This window comes from Homo sapiens, chromosome 3, assembly GCF_000001405.40.
Source record: "Homo sapiens chromosome 3, GRCh38.p14 Primary Assembly".
Lineage (NCBI taxonomy): Eukaryota > Metazoa > Chordata > Mammalia > Primates > Hominidae > Homo > Homo sapiens.
Window position 1 is genome coordinate 15,631,800 of NC_000003.12, and position 24,679 is coordinate 15,656,478.

Consider the following 24,679-nt stretch of genomic DNA (forward strand, 5'->3'; position numbering starts at 1 on the left):
CGTGAACTGGGGAGTCACTGGAAGAGTTTCAGAGGTGCACCTTGGTAGACTCAGGCTTTCTCTGGATCTCACTGGCTGCTCTTATGAGTCCAGAATGGAAGAGGATGAGGACAAATGCAGGGGGATGTTAGGAGACCACTAAGCAGGTCCCTGTCATTTCTCTCTCTGTGATTCCTTTTGCTGCCACTTTCTCCTTGTCCCCTTGGCTCCAGCCCCCTGCTGTCCTTGCTGTTTCTTGCACCCGCCCGTGAGGCATGCTCCTGCCTCAGGCTCTCTGCCTGCCGTGCTCTCACCTCGCAGACCCACGTGATTTCCTCCCGAACCCCCTTCAGGCCTCGGTCCAAACATCACCCTCTCATCGAGGTCTTCCTTGACCACACTGCTTAAAATTGTCCCCCTCGCCTCACCTTACCACCTTCACTGCCTCATTTCTCCTTTGTGCTTAATCACCATCTCACACAGTTATCCAGAGCACGAGCCCCACGAGGAAGGGTCTGTCTTGTCCACTGTTGGACCCCTGACACCTAACCCCTGGGGCTGGCCCACAGTTGGGAATTGCATGGCTGTCTGAAGCCAGCACCTTCCTGGTTCTGCTGTTCCCTGGAAGTGGGGTTCAGTACACCCCACGAGCCAAGGCCCTCATCTCAGAGGGCGTGCACATGGTTGCCTCAATTGTGCTTTCACACTGGACCCTTCCTGCAGTTTACTCTCCTATGTCAGATGCCCTTCAATGAAAGCAAGTACATTGCCACCTTGTCACACCTCTAGTTACCATTTTCTTTATGGTCCAGGTCCTGACCAGCTCTAAAGATGGGTCAGCTGCTGTATTTCCAAGAACCCCATGACTTCCAGGGCCCCTTGTTCCCAGGAAGGCCCCGCACCCCAGTCGTCCCGTGCATAACCTCACGGGCCAGCACCTGGTAGCTGCTGGAAGGCTTCTGGGGGATGCCTGGGCCCCTCCAGCCCTACCTCTAGTCCTGCCACTTTACAACTGAGCACCTCCCGCTGCTGCCTGCTGAACCCTTCAGAGTCCTTGCCACAGGCCCTATTTACTTTTTCCTGAGAAGGTATGTGTGATGCCAAAGAGAGAAAAGCAGCATTTGCTAATTTGGGTAAAATGTTTCTTTGGGAAGGGCAAATTGATGTACAGTTGTCCCTCAGTATCTGTTGGGACTGGTTCCAGGACCCCGTGGATACCGAAACCCTCAGATGCTCAAGTCCCTTATATCAAATGGTGTAGAATTTACATGTAACCTAAACACTTCCTCCTGTACACTTTAAATCATCTCTAGATCCCTTACACTACCTAATACAAACTAAATGCTATATAAATAATTGTTATACTGTATTTTTTAAATTGCTATTATTTTTTATTGTTGTGCTATTATTTTTATTGGGCTCCCTCCTCCCCCTCCCACCCCAGTAATTTCAATCCAAGGTTGGTGGAATCCATGGATGCAGAAACAATGGATACTGAGGGCCGGCTGACTAGACCTATTTTTATTGTAATTACTCATTCTCTTCTACCTCATTAAGCTTGGTTCTTTCAAGCATGAATACCTGGTTGAATCTGCATAACCTCTTATTATCGACCTACCTTTGTTCACACACAAATGATTGCCACTTAGAGCTCTCCTACCGGGCTCCTTTTGTAAAATAAATTTTATCTTCTCCAGATAGAAAGAAATGTGATACCTTGCGGATTTTGCGGTTTCCTTGTTTTGCTGGATTGCAAGTCCTTTAGACATAAACAAATGTTCTGTACCCCGACATCGGTGGTACCCAGCTCTCAGTTGAGAAAGAGATGTAATGTGAATGCCACTCTTGGCCCCAGGCACTCCTCACTTGCCCCCACTGGGGACTGGTTCATACCCTCCTCTCCTGGCCTCAGTTTCCATACCTCTTAGTGAGGCCTTTGCGTTATACTTCAGAAATATTGTCAGTATGACTTTGAAGATGAAAGTTTGCCCCCAAAATCACTCTCTGTTATCATTGTGAAACCAGAGATGGAATGGAAAAATGGGTTTCTGAGACATTTTAAATTATTCCTTGCTTGTCTTTAGAGGCAAAATTCAGATAAGAAAGCTTATCAATTATACTTTTGTTTCTACTCAAAAACTCATGACTGCTCACTCAAAGACTCCTTGTTCTTATCTTAAAACATTGTTTACAGTGTCCCAGATGAATGGCAACAAATCCTGGGGTTTGGTGTTTGGATGGTACATTTCCCTGGGGAAAGAAATAACAGTTTGAGATGGAACCGGGTTGGGGTGGGAGAATACTTCTCATTCTGAGGAATATTTAATTTTGCCAAGATGAGCATTTCTAGTTCTTAGTCTGTTGACGAAAAGAGCTATGGTTTGTTTCTGGAACTTTTGATAAAAAATAAAGAAATTTGTAGCCTGGGGAGTTTGGTTTTAAAATGCAAACACAGGAGTTATGAGTTGAGACTTGGACAGGGTGTCATTTTCTTTTTAAAGGGCAGCAATATGATTCTTTGATTTGTCTTTGTTATCTTGACTTTTAATCCGGATTCCTGGGCAGTTGTTCAGCCCCAGGACATCTCCATGGGCAGGTGGCCTGGCCTTGGCACACTACCCAGTAAATCTCTGCCTGAGAGGACGCTTTAGCTGGGAGGCCAGGCTGATTTTTAAAGGCAGAATTGGACTATTTACTCTAAAACAGTAATGCACACTGTTTAGAAAGAAACATTCCTATTCTGGGAGGAAGGAGGAGACACACAGAAGTATCATTTATTTCTAGTCTTTTCTGGTAGAAGCTATGAAGCTGAGTTTACTCTCTGGAAATTTGTAGTTTATTTTCTAGAAAATTGCATTTTATCACTGCAAAAAGGATTTTATTTCCAAATGAGTAGGCTTTTGAGCAAGAGTTTTGGAGTCACAGAGATGGGGTTAAGAAAGTGATAATGTGCAATGGCGATTCTCAAGTTCAAGGAGAAAAAATAACATGCTTTTATTGGGATACTTTGCTTGTCTATAAAAGAAAGTAGCTATTGGCATTTATGTAGAAGTCAGCAGTTTCTTGGCACCAAATAAATAATTTTGTGCTGAATAAAGGGAGAGTTATCCATAGTATTTATTACTAACCAAAGAAATGCAGGGAGAATTGTAATTCATTAGGTTTTGATGGCCAGGAAAGCCAAGCTGTGTTATTAGGGTCATGACAATCACAGACATTACGGATGGCTGACCTGTAGTATGGATAGAGGGCAGAGGGTAGAGTGTGAAATATATCACAGAATTATGTCAAATAATCTGGATAGTTACTACTGCTTAAAATCTAAGTGCACAGCTAGAAAAGTGGGTAGTGACGCACTACAGTCTTGCTGAACACTGGGTAAGAAAATCATAGCAAACGTTGAGTCTGTTTTGGAAATGTTCTAAAACCAGACTATTAACACAGTGAGCCATTTTAAATGTGGCTTGCTACGTGTTTGGAGAGAAACACATACTCTTTTATTAGGAACATGAAACAAACTCTTTGAGCCGCAGTATCACTGCGAGTGAGTTTAATTGCTGGGATTAATAAATCACAGCTGCAAACGTTAAATTCTTGGCAGGATTCTTTATTCAGCTGTTTTCCCCTTGCCCCATTACATTCCAGATTTGTGGTCTGCATTATGTCTGGAGCCAGAAGTAAGCTTGCTCTTTTCCTCTGCGGCTGTTACGTGGTTGCCCTGGGAGCCCACACCGGGGAGGAGAGCGTGGCTGACCATCACGAGGCTGAATATTATGTGGCTGCCGTGTATGAGCATCCATCCATCCTGAGTCTGAACCCTCTGGCTCTCATCAGCCGCCAAGAGGCCTTGGAGCTCATGAACCAGAACCTTGACATCTATGAACAGCAAGTGATGACTGCAGCCCAAAAGGCAAGAATGCTCCTCGGAACCTGAGTTTCTCTCATACAGAGCAGATTGCTCTTTACCCCTTGATCAGTGGTTGGGTAATCCCAGGCTTCCTACCACCCTCTGAAAAAGCATCCAGGTAGTTAACCTGAGTTGAGTTAGTCAGTTGAATTAGGAGCCTTACCCCTCAGAGAGTGGTCCGTGGACCGGCATCCCCTGGGAGCTTGTTAGAAATACAAAATCTTGGGCGGCACCCCAGACCTACTGAATCAGAATGTGCATTGCAGCAGGATCCCCAGGTGATGCTTTCACATGGCAAGTATGAGAAGCCCAGGACTAGATCCCCAGTTCTCAAGTGTGGTTGTACATAAGAATCACGAGGTAAGTGGTAAACACTATGGCTGCCCGGGTCCTGGAGAGTCCGTTGTAATTGGTGTGGAAGGGGTGTGGACTGGCACTGGGATTGTTTTAAGGCTCCCCAGTGCAGTCTAATGTGCAGAAAAATTTGAAGATGACTGGGCGTGATGACCTCTCTGAGTCATTCGAAGCTTCACTGAAGTAGTAAGCATCTGCAAGAATGCCGTTTGCTCCCTTCAGACTGTTTGAGGCTCGTTTCCGGTCTCTATGTCGGACTACGATCAGTCTGAGACCTTCGCCCAGATAGAACTGACCCCAAACTGACAAAGGGAAGGTCAGTGCCAGCCTTTGTGAAGGCTTCCTGGTTGGCCTGAATTTCCTGCTCCCTTCAGGAAGGGTGGGGACAAAGGAGAGGCCCCCCTGGGGGCAAAGAGGGAAATATCAGAGGTTGCCTAAGAAAATGCCCTGCTGGAAAACACAAACCCGAAGGGAAGTTTGGGCTGTAACTCTGGTGGCAGGGTGACCAAGCGCAGCTGCTTGAGGAAGCCCTGCTGTGCCTCAACAGGATGTAAACTCATTGTGAGCAACACTTTCCTGCTCTCTGTGAACTTAAAGGGCAGAACCAGCAGGTCCTGCCCCAAACAGTCCCTGCCTTAGAGCAGGGTGGTCGGGATGGCCTGGACAGCCACAGCAATTAAAAAATTGCAACATTTTAAAATTTTAGTCTATAATATATATACAAAGGCTATGTGTATGGGGTGGGGGGGTGTTTGGGGGCAGGGGGTGTGTATGTGTGTATAACATGATGTTGAAAGGGAACTTGAAGACTTGGTCCAGCTTCTTTTTTTTCAACCAAGACAACTTTTGCAAGGGTGACACTTTTCTTTAGTCCCAACCTGACATACGGTTTCTCCTTGAACACCTTCAGTGGCTCAGACTCACAGGTCCGTTTGTTCCAATGGTGGGAACTTCTGAACAGGTCTTCCTTTCAATGAGCAGCAGTCAGCCTCCCCGTAACTGCCACCACGATTCTATCGTCAGAGCTAAAGGGAGCAGGACCGTGTCCCTTATCACGGCATGCCATCTTCTCCACCTTTGAGGACAGCTGTCATGATCCCCCTGGCATCTGTCCCCCAGGCTGTATCCTCAGTCCCTTCCACAGTTCCTTAGGAGACTCAGTTTCCAAACCTTCTACTGAAGACTTCCATGTTTTCTCTGTGCTCAGAACTGTATGCAGCTATCCCGATTCTGTCTAATAAGGGCAGGGTAGAGAACTCTCACCTGTCGCATTCTAGATGTTGTCCCCAGAAAACTGCTGGCAGCCACATGTCTCATTATGGGTGTATAAGGCACTTGCTGTCAACTAAAACACCTTTTCACATGAGCAGACACACATGCTGCCATTGCCATCCTGTACTTATAAATTATAAAGGTGATTGATTTAAGCTGAGGGCAAGACTTCACATTTATGCTGTTAAATTTCATCATTCCAGCCTGTTGGGCTATTTAGGGATCTTTACTGACATCCCAAGTATCAGTTACCTTTACGTCATTCACACATATGATACACACCTCATTTATGTCTATGCTGAAGTCAGTGTAAAAAAACCCCAGGCTGTGCCCTCAGACCTCCTGATGACACTGATCTCCTAGAGGGCAGGCATTCTCTTGATAGAGATGTTTGCCTGCATGGCACTGAGTCCAGCACCTGAAATGTCATCTGCCTCTTGCTTCCCTCCCCTATCCACCGGACCATTCTGAGACATTTGGCAAATGACACACTGAAACCCAGACTGTGGCTGTAGAATTCTCCTGCATTCACCTTTCAATAATCTGCCCCCAGAGGAAACACTTAACACGGTTTTGTTGAAACCACGCCAGCTGCACAGCATCACTCCGTCTCTATTTGTTTTCCAGGGGCCAGGATTAAGCTGTTGATATGATCACTTTTAGAATTTACAGATATCTCAGCTCCCATACGTGGTTATATGTTTTTTGTTTGTTTGTTTTCCAGCAGCACTTTTATTTTTCCTTACACGATGACATGTTGCTGGGGCCTATTGTTCTCACATAACAGTAGAAAACCAAAATTTGTTGTCATCTCTTCAAAGAATCGAGAATTGCATACAGAAAAACCTTACATAAATTAAAAGGATGAATACATTTACAGGTGTAAATGCAAACCACTTTCAACTCAGACAAGTAACAGCCCATGGTGTTCTGGCAGAAAACATCAGCTAAGAAAGGAAACTGGGTCCTAAGTCTTGGACTTTCCAACCCTTACAGACCGGCAGAACAGAAACAACTGGTTCAGGAGCCCTTGCCAGCCTCCAGAGAAATCCCAGAACACGCAGCCCTGACGTATTAATACCCTGCACAGATCAGAGACTGCTGGCCACGCAGACTCACCAAGCCACAGACTTGTCTTCCACAAGCACTTTCTTATCTTAGCCACAAAGTGACCAAGCCACATGTACTAAGGGTTGAAATCAAAGATATGTACAGGGTATTAAGCAAATCTGGTTATATGTTTTAAAACAACTTCTAAGACAAATTGATGGCAAGTTTGTGTGAAAGTTTTATATCAAAGTTGTTATAAGAGGTTCCTGAGCAAACCAATTGAAATACAGTCATGCATTGCTTAATGACAGGGATATGTTCTGAAAGGATGCATCATTAGGCCATTGTGTCATTGTGCATGCATCATAGCATGTACTTACACAAACCTACATGGTACGGCCTACTATGCGCCTAGGCTATATGGTATGGCCCATTGTTCCTAGGCTATAAACCTTTACAGCATATTACTGTACTGAACACTGTAGGCAGTTGTAACAAGTGGTAAGCATTTGTATATGTAAACATAGAAAAGGTACAATAAAAATTCAGTATTATAATCTTATGGGACCACCATCACATATGTGGTCTGTCATTGACCAAAATGTCATCATGCAGTGCATGACTATATTTCTGTCTCAGTAGGGGCATTCATAGGGGAAAAACGGAGTCTAGTTTCAAGATGATTAGGCTGGGCAGTCACTTGGGATTGTAACCTTCATTCCTCAGAAGGAAGGGGTTCTTGATCTCATTGAGATCTACCAGAAAATTGCTGAAGCCATTTATCAAGAATGCAACTTACTTCCTAGATAGGATTACTCATCACATCAGACCCAAAATTTTGCCCAGCTCAGGTTTGGTTCCTCTCCTCATTCCTGGTTGATAATAATCTAGTATGTATACATAATTTAAATGTTATTCTCCATGAAAAACCAAAGTTTTGTTTTTAATAAAGAAAAATGTCTATCCAAATATAATTTTCAAAAATCTGAAAAGATGACTCATACAAATATAGAATGAATAAAGCTTTTATTTAATTCATTAATTAAGGAACCAGTAAGATGGTAAAGCTGGTTCAAAGGAAAATTCAAGGAATGGAAATGTGTATATCAGTCAGTCCAGTGATTGTTGAAATGAATTTCCTAATAGATGCAAAACTGGGTAATGTCCTATAGGGCAAAACATTGTAATCTTTGAGGTGATCTTTTAAATAGCAAAGTCAAACGGTGGTACATTCTCCAGCTAATTAAAGAATAATTGAGTGAGCCTATTAAACAGTACCCTAGTATAATTTGGAAAGGCTGCATCTCCATCTTGCCTTATTTTTAGGTTTGAGATAATTTTTCTTTACATGGTCATTGCTAAGTGTGCAATGAGATGATACTGTACTGGAAGGAACATACATTGGTATAGTATTTCTGGAAAGCAGTTTGGCAGTGTGTGTTAAGAACTTAAAAGTTTAATTTTTAGGCCAGGTGCTGTGGCTCATGCCTGTAATCCCAGCATTTTGGGGGTCCAAAGCGGGCGGATCACTTGAGGTCAGGAGTTTGAGACCAGCCTGATGGTGAAACCCCATCTCCACTAAAAATACAAAATTTAGCCAGGTGTGGTGGCGCATGTCTGTAATCCCAGCTACTCAGGAGGCTGAGGCACGAGAATTACTTGAACCCAGGAGGCGGAGATTGCAGTGAGCCGAGATCACAACACTGCACTCCAGCCTGGGCGACAGACCAAGACTCTCTCTCAAAAAACAAAACAAAACTTAAAACTCTAATTTTTATACCCTTTGATCCAGTAATTTCACTTGTAAGACTTTATTCCAAAGAAATAATCAAAAGATGCAATCAAAGATTTGTGTGAAGTGTATAATTATGCAATAAGTGTTTTGAGCACACTATGCAGATGGTCACCACAGTTTTCTTTTTATTACAAAAAGTTGGGAACACTTCAAATTCCAATAATAGAGGATAAATTATGGCGTCCTCTTAAATATGATGTGGCCCCATTACAAATGGATTTTTGAAAGTTTTTTTTTTTTCCTTTTTTTTTTGTGGTGGAGTTTCACTTTGTCACCCAGGCTGGAGTGCAATGGTGCGATCTCAGCTCACCGCAACCTCTGCCTCCCGGGTTCCAGTGATTCTCCAGCCTCAGCCTCCTGAGTAGCTGGGATTGCAGGTGCCCGCTACCATGCCTGGCTAATTTTTGTATTTTTAGTAGAGACGGGGTTTCATCATGTTGGGCAGGCTGGTCTTGAACTCCTGAGCTCAGGTGATCTGCCCACCTGGGCCTCCTGAAGTGCTGGGATTACAGGCGTGAACTGCCATGCTTGGCCGTATTTTTTAAAGTTCTTAATGAGGGAAGTCAAGATGTAAAACCATATATTTATTATTATCTCCATTATATACACACATACATGTATACAGAGAGAAAAAGTAATGAAAATAACCAAAATATTAACAATAAGTATCTGTGTTATAGAATTATGATTGTTTTTTCCCGTTTTCCAAATTTTCTACAGTAAAACTTTTGAAGCTTTTATAACCAGGAAAAAAATTTAAAAGTTTGCAATGCATTCCAGAAATAAGTGTCTCAAACTTTGCTAATTTGAATTGTTCATGCCTTCTCTGCCTGCCTTCTCCACCTTCCTCCCTGGGGCTGGTGTTCCCGGCTTGACATTTTAAACCCTGTAAGTGGAGAGCAGTGGAAGAATGATGCCCCAGCCCTGAGAGCTGAGGGCGGCCCTGTTTGTATTTTCTTAGGTTGCTGTAGATGTCACAGGGAGTTCCGGGCCATCACAGCCAGGGAACACAGGATGTTGCCAGGTGTGGGAAAAGGCCTTTAGGGTGGTCAGAGTCCCGAAGGGAGCCTCCTAATTCCCAGTTGGGGAATGGAGATTTCAAGCGAGTTCTTGTTTCCAGGCTGAGATGAGCACACTTGCCTCTTACCCACTGGCCCAGTGGATCCTAACCTTGGCTACAAATGAGAATCACCCGGGGGACCTTTAAACAAACACTGTTGCCACTATCCCACCCACAGTCAATCAAATCAGACTTTGTAGGGGTGGTCCCGGCATCAGTGGTTTTTCAGAAGTTCCTCAACTGATTTAAATGCACAATGGAAGTTGACAACCACCAGACTGAAGATACCACGTGTGTTAATGGGCCCAATGTATTCAAGGCCCAGTAGTTGGCCCCATCTCCCCTGGTATCCTAAGAACTCTAAATCCTTTCTAGCTATTCGCTTGTCAAACTCCTGAGCTTACTTTCAATGGAGCTTACACATTCCCTCCTTCCCTCACATGACCCCAGGCACAGTTAATGGTTGTTCCTAGAGGACTTTGTCTTTGTTCCTTGGGGATCAGGTGGAGTGAGACAGTATCCCCAAGACTAAGATCTCTGAGGAGAGTAAAGACACCATCTCTGTGCCTCTGGTTCCTGCTACAGAGTAACTTCCTGATGGTTGCCAAAAGAATGAACAGAAGAATGAATGAATGCAGCGGTTCTTCCTGCCATCTGATAACAGACTATTCTTTGATGTTTTCATTTTCAGGATGTACAGATTATAGTGTTTCCAGAAGATGGCATTCATGGATTCAACTTTACAAGAACATCCATTTATCCATTTTTGGACTTCATGCCGTCTCCCCAGGTGGTCAGGTGGAACCCATGCCTGGAGCCTCACCGCTTCAATGACACAGAGGTGATTCCTGCCTTTTTCCTCAGTAGGCTGAGGGTACACAGAGGTGATCTAAGTCAGGGACCAGAAGCTGTGACATGTTAACTAAGATTGATAGGAGACCTTAACATCCCCAAAATCCAACCCAAACTCCCAAAGATCCATGTGCCACATGTTCATTCCATTAAAGAATGTCTGACGTTACAAGGCAGTTATTCATCTATGGATCTTTCCATTTATTAATTACACAATAAATACAGGAATGTATACTTAAACCAAACCAAAAGTAAAAAAAGAAAAGTTCATCTTCACCACAGCCTGCACCTCATCCCATGCCCTTGCTTAGAGAAACTGCCATCAACAATTTGATGTGCATTCAGTTGTATTCTTTTCTATGCATTTCATAGTTATTGACATCCTCTTTTTTTTTTTTTTTTTTGAGATGGAGTCTTACTCTGCCACCCAGGCTGGAGCGCAGTGGCGCGATCTCAGCTCACTGCAAGCTCTGCCTTCCGGGTTCATGCCATTCTCCTGCCTCAGCCTCCCGAGTAGCTGGGACTACAGGCACCCACCACCACGCCCGGCTAATTTTTTTTGTGTGTGTATTTTTAGTAGAGATGGGGTTTCACCATGTTAGCCAGGATGGTCTCGATCTCCTGACCTTGTGATCTGTCTACCTCGGCCTGCCAAAGTGCTGGGATTACAGGCATGAGCCACTGTGCCTGGCCTTGACATCCTCTTTTTAAGCATACTATATGCTTATTCATTTTAAATTTTTGCTATTATATTTTTGTAAACATGTTCAAGTTTTTCTGTAAAATAAAATTTTTAGAAATGAAATCCCTCAGGCCAGGTGTGGTGGCTCACACCTGTAATCCCAGCTACTTGGGAGGCTGAGGCAGGAGAATCACTTGAACCTGGGAGGCAGGAGTTGCGGTGAGAAAGATCGCGCCACTGCATTCCAGCCTGGACAACAGGAGCAAAACTCTGCCTCAAAAAAAAAAAAAAAAATAAAATAAAATAAAGAAATGGAATCCCTCAAAGGATATGTACATTTTAAATTATATTAAAGAGTACCAAATTTCCCGCTTAAAAAACTTTGATTTCACTTTACAGCCCCAGTCATACAGTATGAGTGCCTCTTTTTCCATCCTTTGGTCAATGCAAGATAGAATAATCTTTTGAGCCTGGGCACAGTGCTTCACATCTGTAATCCCAGCATTCTGGGAGGCCAAGGCTGGTGGATAGCTTGAGCTCATGAGTTCAAGACCAGCCTGGCCAACATGGTGAAACCTCGTCTCTACAATAAATACAAAAATTAGCTGGGTGTGGTGGTGCATGCCTGTAGTCCCAGCCACTCAGAAGGCTGAGATAGGAGGATGGCTTGAGCCTGGGAGGCGGAAGTTGCAGTGAGCCAAGATTGTGCCACTGCACTCCAGCCTGGGCGACAGAGCCAGACCCTGCCTCAAAAAAAAAAGAAAAAGAAGAATCTTTTGAATTTTTGCCAGTCTTATGAAGGTGAGAAATGATAGCTATTTCATTGTTGTAATTTGCACTTCTCTCTCACTAATGAGATTGAGCATCTTTTGAGATGTTTGTGGGTCACTTTTCTTTGTCCTTCTGTGAATCACCTGTTTATATCCTTTGCACATTTTCAGTAGTGGTTGCTTTTTTCTTATTGATTTATGATAGCTGTTTATTATGGATAAATATAAGTACTTTTATATTTAAAAATTGTGAGAGCCAAGTACAATGGTGCACACCTGTAGTCCCAGCTTCTTAGGAGGCTGAGACGAGAGGATTGCTTGAGGCCAGGAGTTTGAGTCCAGCCTGGGCAATGTAACAAGACCCTGTCTCTGAAAAAAAAAAAAAAGAAAAGAAAGAAAAAAAAAAGAAGAGGAAGCAAAAGGAAGGATTTTAAAAACTCATTTATTTAATTTATTTATTTATTTATTTATTTATTTATTTATTTATTTATTTATTTTGAGACGGAGTCTTGCTCTGTCGCCCAGGCTGGAGTGCAGTGGCGCGATCTCGGCTCACTGCAAGCTCCGCCTACTGGGTTCACGCCATTCTCCTGCCTCAGCCTCCCGAGTAGCTGGGACTACAGGCATCCACCACCACGCCCGGCTAATTTTTTGTATTTTTAGTTGAGATGGGGTTTCACCGTGTTAGCCAGGGTGGTCTCAATCTCCTGACCTCATGATCCACCCGCCTCAGCCTCCCACAGTGCTGGGATTACAGGCAAAAACCTCATTTATTTACACCTTTTTTTCCTCTAGGTGCTCCAGCGCCTGAGTTGTATGGCCATCAGGGGAGATATGTTCTTGGTGGCCAATCTTGGGACAAAGGAGCCTTGTCATAGCAGTGACCCAAGGTGCCCAAAAGATGGGAGATACCAGTTCAACACAAATGTCGTGTTCAGCAATAATGGAACCCTTGTTGACCGCTACCGTAAACACAACCTCTACTTTGAGGCAGCATTCGATGTTCCTCTTAAAGTGGATCTCATCACCTTTGATACCCCCTTTGCTGGCAGGTTTGGCATCTTCACATGCTTTGATATATTGTTCTTTGACCCTGCCATCAGAGTCCTCAGAGACTACAAGGTGAAGCATGTTGTGTACCCAACTGCCTGGATGAACCAGCTCCCACTCTTGGCAGCAATTGAGATTCAGAAAGCTTTTGCTGTTGCCTTTGGCATCAACGTTCTGGCAGCTAATGTCCACCACCCAGTTCTGGGGATGACAGGAAGTGGCATACACACCCCTCTGGAGTCCTTTTGGTACCATGACATGGAAAATCCCAAAAGTCACCTTATAATTGCCCAGGTGGCCAAAAATCCAGTGGGTCTCATTGGTGCAGAGAATGCAACAGGTGAAACGGACCCATCCCATAGTAAGTTTTTAAAAATTTTGTCAGGCGATCCGTACTGTGAGAAGGATGCTCAGGAAGTCCACTGTGATGAGGCCACCAAGTGGAACGTGAATGCTCCTCCCACATTTCACTCTGAGATGATGTATGACAATTTCACCCTGGTCCCTGTCTGGGGAAAGGAAGGCTATCTCCACGTCTGTTCCAATGGCCTCTGCTGTTATTTACTTTACGAGAGGCCCACCTTATCCAAAGAGCTGTATGCCCTGGGGGTCTTTGATGGGCTTCACACAGTACATGGCACTTACTACATCCAAGTGTGTGCCCTGGTCAGGTGTGGGGGTCTTGGCTTCGACACCTGTGGACAGGAAATCACAGAGGCCACGGGGATATTTGAGTTTCACCTGTGGGGCAACTTCAGTACTTCCTATATCTTTCCTTTGTTTCTGACCTCAGGGATGACCCTAGAAGTCCCTGACCAGCTTGGCTGGGAGAATGACCACTATTTCCTGAGGAAAAGTAGGCTGTCCTCTGGGCTGGTGACGGCGGCTCTCTATGGGCGCTTGTATGAGAGGGACTAGGAAAAGTGTGTGGTCTGTGGGGCGGACTCTGGCCATCATGTTGACAGCCTTGCACTTCCACAGGCTACAAGCCCTGGGACCATCTTTCTGCCTTAAGGGCAGGAGCCCACTTCTGTGGCACCAGATTCCACCCTGGGAACTGTGGAAAAAGTAGGAGAGGCAGATTCCCTCAGTGTCTTCCTCTTAAACCTCAATCATCGAGACATTAGGGGGTATTTTCTGTTCACATTTATCTTTTTCAAGCCACATCTTCCTCTAACAAATCTCTCAGTATGCGATTGGTCTCAAGCTAAAACAAAAATAAATGTCAGTTTATATTTTACACATCCACAAAGCAGTGGCTTGGGGTTTTTTTTTTTTTTTTTATCTTGTTGATCAAGTGACACCCAGGACATGTAAATATTTCATAAGCCTTAAACATTTCCTGAGGTAAGAAACAAGCTCTCAAAGCAAAAGCTCAATTAGAAATGGCCCTTGTGGGGAACCTTCCCATTCTGGTCGACCAGAACTCTAGCCAGATGAAATGGCAATGCTAGCGCCACCAGCAACGTCAGAAACGTAGACCTTAAAGCGGCTTTTAAAAATAGAAAAGAAGCGTTCCTCACATCTGCCAGTAATGGAATTTTCTGTCAGTAAATGGAATGTGTAGGCAGGACCTGGAATAACTGGAGAGAGTGCAACGCTTCGGGGTGAAGGGCGGGTGGGGACTGGAAATGTTGAGACGGGGGCAGCCATGGGAAGGTATGAGTAATAGAATTCTTTCTGTACGACACAGCTCATCCAGGGATTCCAGGGACCTTAATAAATCACGGTAGCTTTGGGCAAGAGTTGGGCACGTTGCCCGACTGTGCAGGATGGATTGATGCTGGTATAATTTGATCTGGAGCCCTATAGAGGATCTCGTTGCTTTGCAGCGATGCCTGGCACCCCATAGAGATAAGTTGCAGGGACTGCCGTGAAGGGCATGAAGGGTGGCCCACTTTAGTCATGCATTTATTCAATCACCCAACAGGCACAGAGCAGGAGCTTCCCATGTTAGGAATTCCAGATGCAAAATTATCAGACTCAATATGGTGAAGACATTTTTAGGCCACTGATTTCTGTGTAATTTGTGTCCAATATTTCAAAGCCATTTAAAAAAGGATTTTGACTGCATGCCTAGTAGCTGTTTCAGATCATTTTTTAAGTACAGAATGGATAATTAGTCTTCAGTGATTTGCCTCTTAAATGTGGCCATTTAGTTTGAACTCCTTTTTAGTTATTTTAAACAGTATATGCTTAAACATCACACGATTTTATAAAGCAAGAAAAATGAAATGATCTCCCTATTCCCCCACGGTGTAGGCCTCCAGATCCTTTTCTGGCTTTTAGGCAGGACAATTAACAATGTGGATTCTGCAGTCAGACTGATGGGGTTTCCATGCATGGCCTCACCATTAACTCCTCACTGGGGAGACCTTGGGCCTCGGTTTTTTATTCATAGAATGCATGTTGAATAAACCATGTGGGAAAAAGCAGAGCCAGCACCAGCCCCTGCTGACTCACTGATCCCTCGGAAAGGTCTGGGATGAGTCAAGTCTTCAGGGAATAAGCAGCAAGGACTTGGAATTCCTGAGCAAGCCTTGGGTTCCCCACGCCCTAGGAAGTCCCTCTGGAAGGGGAGCAGGACCTCTCCCACCAGATGACGGAGTTCGCTTTCTCGCCCAGCGCAGCTCCCACCAGGCGTGAGCTGGCAGTCCAGAAGCGGCCCCAGATGTGGCTACCCACCGCCCAGTCTGCTTCCCTGCCTCAAACCCCAGGGAGACAGAAATTACCTAAAAATGCATATCATTGCCTTATGCCAAGATGATTCAAATAAGCCTGAGAAAGAGAGGCCAGCGCTAAATACAGACTTGGCAGAACTACTTCACCCAGTAAACATCTAATCAGCACCTGCAGGATCCTCATTCTGCCCTTCTGGGCAGAGCACCACGAACTTTCCCTGAGTTATTTTCTACCAACAATTTAGAATGAATTGCTCGTGAAGTAGAAATGAGGGGAAAAGCAACTAATGGTGGTAGAACAAAGTAATTTTTACAATTAAAAGAAGTAGCTGCCAGATGACAGAACAAAGTAGAGGACGGGAAAATAAATCATTTTCAGGGAAAAAATATATCTATGACTAATGGTTGTGATTATGTTTTTGTCGATTGTGATCCTGAAACTCAGGAAGCAAATGGCAATCTTGACCACAACATGGAGACAGGAAATCAAATGCATTTTTGGCTAAACCAGACTTGGGGGAAGTGGCTTGGTTTGCGTGGTTTCTCATGTAGGTGCAGCTGTGCTTTTCTGTGGTTTTTCTCACACGGGAAGTGAGAGGCACAGTGAGCTGTATTCACACTGGATTTAAAAGCCCTGTTCTTAGAGAGGAAAAAACCAGGCCTCCTCACAGACTGCCAAGTCCCAGAGCCCACCATGTCTGCTCTCAAGACACAGGCCTGTCCAGAGCCCCTGCTGAGGGAAACCCACCCAGGCCACTTTTCCCCACAGGTGGCCCTGCTTGGTACCTGTGCCCCCACCCCCCAGCCATGGTATATTGAACCAGGAGGAGGCACCCAGCCCAAGGCCAGCCAATCAGAGCACTGGCTAGTAGCCCAGGAGGTGTCCCTGCACAGAAGATCTCCTCAGAGAGGACCGATGGTGAGTCGGCCGCTCTTGATTCTCAATGAAACTCAGAACCGCTCAAGTGAAATGACCACTCAAAGAACAATTTCTCAACAAAGTGGATTTATATAGGACAAAATAGGCATAAAAGTATGAAATGTTTTGTGCACAAAGGCCTAGATTTGAGACAAGAGCTGATGTGGCCTGAAGATCTGTGAGTGGGACTGCTTGGGAGGCCATGTTCCTTCTCAGGCCAGAGAAAGGTCCTGGTCTCCTGGCTTCAGTCTTTCATTCCCTAACCTCCCTTTGAATGTTAGTTACCTATTCCCACATAACAAAGTGCCCCAAAACTTAATGGCATAAAACAAGCATGGACATTGTTAGTTCACCCAGTTCTGTGGGGCAGGAAAGCGGGTCTCTCATGAGGCTACAGTCAAGATGTCAGCCGAGGTGACAGTGAAGATATCAACCAAGGCTGCAGCCGGTTGAAGGCCTCACTGGATTTGGAGAATATTATTGATTAAATTGCGTCTTCCCCAAAAAAGATACGTTGTAGTCCTAACCCCCAATAGCTCAGAATGTGGCCTTATTTGGAAATAGGGTCTTTGCAGATGCAATGAAGATATAAGTTAAAATGAGATCACACTAGAGTAACTGGGCCCTTAATCCAATATGACATGTCCTTATCAGAAGAGGAGAAGACACACACACAGGGAGAAGATGACCATGTGACAACAGGGGCAGAGATCACAGGGATGCCTCTACTAGACAAGGCACACCAGAAATTGCTTGCCAACAAACACCAGAAATTAGAAGAGGCAAGAAACAACTCCCCACACACAACCCACCCCTGCAGGTTTCAGAAGAAGCATGGCTCTGCCAACACCTTGATTTTGGATTTCCAGCTTCCACAACTATGAGACAATAAGTTTCTGTTGTTTGAAGCCACCCAGTTCAGGGTACTTTGATATGGCAGACCTAGGAAACAAATACAGAGGATCACTTGCAAAATGGCCCATTCACACAGCTGGCACGTTGGTGCTGGCTGCTAGCAAAAGGTCTCAGCTCCTCACCACTTGGGTCTTTCCATAGGGATAGCTGAGTGTCCTCATGATGTGGCCCCTGGCTTCCCCTGAAGCAAATGATCCAAGAGAGCACAGGTGGAGCCATGATGTCTTTTATTAACTAGTCTCAGAAGTCACACTGCATCATTTGGCACCATCTTATTGAGTTACACAGGTCAGCCCTGCTCCCTATGGAAAGAGACAGAGGGTGTTAGATGCCCAGAGGTGAACCTCATTGGGTACCATCCTGCAGGTGGGCTGCCACTCTGCTCAATCCAAATCACAGCTCTCCCGTTTCTCACCTCCCAACAGTTGCTGTTCCTCAGGCCAAAGTTCACATTCTGCACAGCCTCAGCTCCGCCTGACCTCTGAGCTCACATGATGGCCCTTACTGTGAACCTGGGTTTCTGGTCCAGCCATAGCTACTTCTTTAAGCTCCTCCAGTGTGCTGAGCACAGTCTGGCCCCTGTACTGTTGTCTGCTTGAAATGGCGTCTTCTGATGAACACTCATCCATCCTTCAAGGTCTACTCTCTCATCACAGCTTGTGACTCTTCCACTTTTTGAACTGGTGTTTCCCATTCCCAGTTCACAGAGCCCTTTCTCATTGAACTATTTATCTGAGTTCCCTCTGCCGGAACATGAGCCATGCCTAGAGTAGCCACCTAGTAGTGAGTGACAGCTCTGTGCTGGATGCACATAAATGGTCTCCCTTAACTGCCATGAGCCCTAAAGAAGGTTTGCTACAGCTATTTTACAGATGGGGAAAACTGACAGAGAGATATTAATGAATTGCCCACATGCAAATATGTGCTGAGTCTTGGATTTGCATCTTTATCGTGACTCCACGGAGACCCACCCTCTAAGACCAGAGCCAGTGTCCTATTCATCTTTTGTCTCTGCAGCGTTCAGCATGGCACTGTCTTGGCTTACAAAATCTGCTCTATGCTTGCTGACTGCTGAATGAATGAATGAATGAATAGGTAGTCACAAAGAATGTTTAGAATGTTTCTCAGACAGGCTGAGAAAAAACACAACGAAACATTATTTCCGTTTGGAAAGTTTTTTTATTTTTGTGTTCAGTACTGAAGTAAAACAAAAATCTGAATAACAGCTGCACCGTTAAAAATGAAATTACCAATATATGAACTCTAGGCATCATGCATATATAATTTTTTGTAGATAACTTTTCTTCTCATTTTCCTTCTCATTCTCTTCATCTTTTTCTTTTTGTTTGAGCAAAAAAAAAAAAGAATATATTAACTCGTAACTGGGGAGTCTAAGAATAAATTCTCTTCAGCCATTGCTGAATCTAGGGGCTCAAATGGTGTCTCTGGACACAGTATCACACTCTACTCTGCACTCTTCTTTATCATTTTCTCCCACAGACAGACTCTCGTGTAGTTGCAACAATGGCCATGACTTCTAGGCTTCATCTGCCCCTCTCAGCAGCTCTAGAGAAGAAGCTCCTCTTTTTACACAGTCCCTAATTAAAGTCTCAGAGATGAACAACCTGGGCTCTTGCTTAGGGCACGTGCCCATCCTGAATCAATGATCGGCCAGAGAGCTGTGATATTCTTTTGTTTTTTTGAGATGGAGTCTTGCTCTGTCGCCCGGGCAGGAGTGCAATGGCATGATCTCGGCTCACTGCAAGCTCTGCCTCCCGAGTTCAAGCGATTCTCCTGCCTCAGCCTTCCGAGTAGCTGGGACTACAGGCACGTGCCACCACGCCCAGCTAATTTTTTGTATTTTTATAGAGACAGGGTTTCACCATGTTAGCCAGGATGGCCTCGATCTCCTGACCTCATGATCTGCCTGCCTCAGCCTCCCAAAGTGCTGGGATTACAGGCGTGAGCCACCGTACCCGGCCAGGGCTGTGATATTCTGATCAGCCAGCACTGAGTCACATGGCCACTATTAGGGTGAGGGATGATAGGCTTAGCTCTGACCTGAAATTCATGGATTGAGGGGTGGGGACTGTTTCCCAGGGGAACACTGGGACAGCGTTACCAGGGGAAGGGGAGTGGGATATAGTTGGGCCAAAACAGTAAATGTCCACGAGGCTTTTTTCCTCTGAGCAGAAATTTCACTGTGATGCCAGTCAGGTATTGCTGCCGTAAGGGCCATAGCAGGAGGGAGACTGCAAATCTTGATTGAGGAGATCTTAAGAACAGAGTGATTTACACAGCTGTGGGCAGGATGTAGGGGAACCCAGAAAGGATAATGCACTACCCAGCGGCCAGCGACAGCAGGAGCTATGAGCACCCCAGGCCTGAAGGTGTGAAGGGCTGAAATGGTTACCAGAAGCAGGAGAGGGAAGCTTATGGAGAGAGCAGGCTGGCGGGAGCAGGGGCTGTGAGAGAGACAGCCAGACCGTAGCGGTGTGACAGGCAGAGAGCCAGGCGATCCATATCCTGTCTCCTCTCTCTTCTCCGCTCCTGACTCCTGCTGCGGCCTCCCACTGGCTGGACCCAACAGGAAAGCAGAGGATAAGAGAATCTGGTTGGTGCTATCTAGAAGTCAGTGTTGGGGAGGTCACAGAACAGAATGGAGAGGGGTAGAGTATGCAGGGAAGATAAATGCAGCCCTGGCATGGTTCTTCCAGAACATTCTGCAAGCTCATGGACCAGTTCATTTGAGAAGAAATAGAGGAGTTAGGGGAGAGAGAAGCTTCTTAATGAAAATAACCTTGGTAGCTAGTCTCAAGATTAGCCCCCAGTGCTCCCCACCTGCTGGTATCCGTTGTACAACACTTCCCACATTTTTCTGGGGTCGTTTTGTGTAACCAATAAAATATGGCAGATGCGATGGCATGTTACTTCTGAAATTGGGTTATAAAAGGTACTGCAGACCGGGCACGGTGGCTTACGCCTGTAATCCCAGCACTTTGGGAGGCCAAGCCTGGCGGATCACAAGGTTAGGAGTTCAAGACCAGTCTGGCCAATATGGTGAAACCCTGTCTCTATTGAAAATACAAAAATTAGCCGGCATGGTGGCACACGCCTGTAGTCCCAGCTAGTCGGGAGGCTGAGGCAGAAGAATCGCTTGAACCCGGGAGGCGGAGGTTACAATGAGCTGAGATAGCACCACTGCACTCCAGTCTGGGCAACAGAGCGACACTCCGTCTCCAAAAAAAAAAGATACTGCAGCTTCTATCTTGGTTGCTCACTTGCTATCTTGGGTCCCTCCCTCTGGGGAAAGCCAGTTGCCATCTCCCAAGGATCCCTATGGACAGACCCATTTGGCAAGGAACAGCCACCAGCTAGCTGCATGAGCGAGCCATGTTGGAAGTGGGTCCTCCAGCTGCAGTCAAGCTTCCAGATGACCACTGCCCTGGGAAACGACTGCAACCTCATGAGAGACCCTGAGCCGGAACCACCCCACAAAGTCACTCTTGATTTCCTAAGTCTCAGAAACTATAAAATATAAATGTGTGTTGTTTTAAAATCCTAGGTTTTGAGGTAATTTATTATACAGCAATAGAAAACTAATACAATAGTCTTGCTACCAGCACCTTAATCTCCCACATCCAAGTTAAAATTCATCCAACACTCAATCTCCCAGCTATCCTGACTGCTCCTATACAGGTATCTCTCCCACTATATATATATCAAGTGCTATTAGTGGCTATTATTTGTTGGGTTACACAAAGCCAGAAATCATCTACATCTACTCTCTTTTCTTCTGGTTTTGAATAGCAAAATGCAACAGGGAGATGTTCTCAGATAGAGGGAGAACAACAAAAAGAAGGGTCCATGCTGAACAAACTTGTTTGCTTTGAAATCGGAAGTTCTAGAGGAGGTATTCTGACAGTGGCCAGGAAAACCTCCTGCCCGCAGAATTTTGTCTAATCCACCCCAGACAGAGTTATCCAACAGCCTGGTATGGTGCAGACCAGGGGCTCTCGAAAGGTGGGCTCCAGGCAGCAGCACCAGTAGCACCTGGGAAATTGTTGGAAATGCAAATTCTTGGGCTCCACCCCAGATCAACTTAATCGGACTCTCTGGGAGTAGGGCCCATCAATCTGTGTTTAACAAGTCCTCCAGGTGATTCCGATCCTAATCAAGTGTGAGCCCACTGTCTAATGCGGTGCATACCAAAGCAGGTGCACGGGTCTTAATCATCACCTCAGTCCTCTGAAACAGGCAAGTGTGTCCATTTTACAGAAGAAGGAACTAAGGCCTGGAAGGCAAGTCCTTGCCTGAGACTAAACAGAATCCCAGCAACATAGGACGAGGCTGGAATTCCCACACCTGGACTAATGCACAGCCAGTGTTTCAACGTCGCCAACCCAGAAATGTTTTCTCTCCCTGTCATGCTAATTTTCAGCCCTTTCTGGGTGACTTGTTCATCATCCAAATATATTATTTTTGTTTTGTTTGACTAAAGGCAATTATATTTACATTTTCTCTAAGTACTGGAATGTAATGGTTGAAATTCCTATTCAGTGATCTGGAAGAACTCTAATGTTCTAAAGTGATTCTTTGATAATTAAAGAAAGATGTAATTATGTATAATGTGATTTGTAAGATAAGGTATAACTTTGGGGGTGTTCTAATTCTTTAAAAATTGTTGATCCGACTATGGATGTCTTGCAACTCTCAAAAAATCACGTGTGAAAGTTAAGCATTAGTTCCGTGTAAAATACTGTGCTAGAAATTGTGGAGGATGCAAAGTCACATAAGACTGTTACTGTTTTTTAAAATTTATTTTTTAAAATAGAGACAGGGTTTCTCCATATTGGCCAGGCTGAATCTCAAGTGATCTGCCTGCTTTGGCCTCCCAAAGTGTTGGGATTACAGGCGTGAGCCACTGCGCCCGGCCAAGACTGTTACCTTTAGCGAGAGCTTATTATCACCTAGTGTTCATATAAACATGGGATTTAAATACACACACAACCCCCAAAACAAATTGCTAAAAGATATTTGTGCAGATTTTATTTTTCCAAATGGCTACAACAGTATTTGAAGAACTAACAAGTTTAAAAATGTAAAAGGCCAGTAAGGCAACATTGGGCACTGGGGCAAGTGAAGGGGAGGGAAGGAGCATGGAGTCAGGGGAGAGGGCATTGGCTGGTTCTGCAGGCTCTGCAGGCTGGGGGAAGAGTTAGGGTTTATGTGGGCAGACAGCATTGCAGGGGATTAGGCAGGGGAATAACATGGTCATTTAAAATGATTCTTCTGGCTGATGACAGGTTTTCAGATGCTTCACCTCCTCCTAAGTCAGTCACACCTCATATCCAAGCCATGAGGACTCACTGAGGGGAATGTAATAAATAGCTATTTAAGGGAAAAATAACAATTAAAAAATCTATAATAGCAGTTTAAGGGACAAAAACCAAAACATTTCTTTGGAATTATTCATGTTAAGCTTAACATTTTCTAATATAGTCCTGCATCCTTTTTTTTGTTTTTGAGATGAAGTCTCACTCTGTGGCAATCTTGGCTCACTGCACCCTCTGCCTCCCGGGTTCAAGCGATTCTCCTTCCTCAGCCTCCTGAATAACTGGGATTACAGGCATCTGCCACCACACTTGGCTAATTTTTTTTTTTTTTAGATGGAATTTTGCACTTGTTGCCCAAGCTGGAGTACAATGGCATGATCTTGGCTCACTGCAACCTCTGCGTCCCGGGTTCAAGCAATTCTCCTGCCTCAGCCTCCCATGTAGCTGGGATTACAGGCATGCGCCACCATACCCGGCTAATTTTGTATTTTAGTAGAGACGGGGTTTCTTCATGTTGGTCAGGCTGGTCTCAAACTACTGACCTCAGATGATCTGCCCGCCTTGGCCTCCCAAAGTGCTGGGATTATAGGCATGAGCCACCGCGCCCGGCCTGCATCAGTTTTTAAAAGACATCAGACACGTCAAAGCCACAGGAGGAAAAGCCCCTACATTCATGCACAACAGAAAGGCTTTGTTTTCAGTAAACACGCACATCTTCAAAGAATGGTTGCAATCCAAATTGTTTAGTAACTATTAGAGGAACAAAGAAGGCTGTGTCCTCTGAATTATAATGTGCATATCCTCTAAATTGCTGCATATTAGGGGTTGAAGCATGCTGGGAGTTTGACGTATGTAAGGAAAATTATTAGGTTGATGGAATATAAAGATACTTATAATAAAAGCCAGTATTTTGGCATTTATAAATGAATCTGAAAAGGGTGAAGAACTTCATTGTTTTGCAATTAATACCACAAAATGTGGCCCTTGTGTTCTACTGGCCCCTGAAAATTGTTTCAGATCTTTCCTTGGTGCAGTGTATATTGAATAGTAAAAGGGACATATGTCACAAAACAGATTTATTCCTACAAATTTACATAAAAAATAAGAAGTGAAAAAATAAACCCAGATTTTGAATGCGCTGGCTTGGGAGCCCAGAGACCAGGCCTGGCTTGCTTTTAAATTGTTGTGTGACCTCAGCCATGTACCTGTGCCTCTCAAGGCCTAAGGTCCTCTCTCTGTAAAAGAGGGGACTACATGAGATGATTTCAGCTCAAATATCCTTGGAGACTCTCATTGTTTTCTAGTTGTAAATTATGCTTTTTCTAATAGTAAATAAGAAACGAAACAGTATTCATGTATGACAGAGAATACTTTGTTGTTTTTACTTTGTTTTGTTTTTGAGACAGAGTCTCACTCTGTTGCCCAGGCTGGAGTGCAGTGGCATGATCTCGGCTCACTGCAACCTCTGCGTCCCGGGTTCAAGCAATTCTCCTGCCTCAGCCTCCCATGTAGCTGGGATTACAGGCTCCTGCCACCATGTCTGGCTAATTTTTGTATTTTTAGTAGAGACAAGGTTTCACCATGTTGGCCAGGCTGGTCTCAAACTCCTGACCTCAAGTGATCCACCCACCTCGGCCTCCCAAAGTGCTGGGATTACAGGCATGAGCCACTGCACCCAGCCTACTTTGTTATTATTATAGATGTAAGATACAATGAATTTCTCTGAGTTTCTCTTTAAAGATTTAGCCTGCTAACTTCCTTGACCTTTGTTTTCAAACCTCAACTTTTCTGTTCCTCCTTGCCCCTAGTTATTGTAAAATAGCCTACCCCCTTCCCATCAGTTCTAATCAATACCTCACATCTGTTGCCTTGGTTACCTGCACCCATTGTTCCCCTCAAACTGCATGTCTCACACACTTCACCACTGTACCTCACGTCCCCTTCCCCTCCATATTTAGAAAAATATTTCCAAGTAGCCAGTCAGGTCAGCTCAGATTGCGCAGTCTGACCCCAGCTCATGCGGGAGGGACACAGAGGTAGGGATTGCATTAAGGATA

At 44.8% G+C, this 24,679-nt stretch overlaps 1 protein-coding gene across 41 annotated transcripts in view, besides 2 other annotated features; it reads left to right on the plus strand.

Annotated features, from left to right (window-relative positions):
- Window positions 1–24,679, plus strand: part of BTD (biotinidase) — a 121,156-nt gene that overhangs the window by 30,439 nt on the left and 66,038 nt on the right. For 10 of the 41 annotated variants that reach the window (NM_001407366.1, NM_001407369.1, NM_001407378.1 and 7 more), the window contains 4 exons: window positions 792–1,067; window positions 3,625–3,889; window positions 10,109–10,258; window positions 12,517–21,915. In NM_001407366.1, the coding sequence (NP_001394295.1) occupies window positions 3,641–3,889; window positions 10,109–10,258; window positions 12,517–13,689 (1,572 nt within the window). In that variant the 5' untranslated portion in view covers window positions 792–1,067; window positions 3,625–3,640 and the 3' untranslated portion in view covers window positions 13,690–21,915. Of the gene's footprint in view, window positions 1–791; window positions 1,068–3,624; window positions 3,890–9,318; window positions 9,382–10,108; window positions 10,515–12,516; window positions 21,916–24,679 lie in introns of those variants that run through there. The other 31 variants (NM_001407365.1, NM_001407374.1, NM_001407372.1 and 28 more) reach the window with 7 other exon arrangements.
- Window positions 14,883–15,416: an enhancer, noted in NCBI's record as "H3K27ac-H3K4me1 hESC enhancer chr3:15688189-15688722 (GRCh37/hg19 assembly coordinates)". NCBI's record gives its function as "activates a minimal SCP1, AML or CMV promoter by ChIP-STARR-seq in naive H9 embryonic stem cells {active_cell/tissue: H9 hESC(naive)}" and the evidence as "EXISTENCE:reporter gene assay evidence [ECO:0000049][PMID:30033119]".
- Window positions 15,843–16,137: a silencer, noted in NCBI's record as "tiled region #6531; K562 Repressive non-DNase unmatched - State 23:Low". NCBI's record gives its function as "represses a minimal TATA promoter and a strong SV40 promoter by Sharpr-MPRA in K562 cells {active_cell/tissue: K562}" and the evidence as "EXISTENCE:reporter gene assay evidence [ECO:0000049][PMID:27701403]".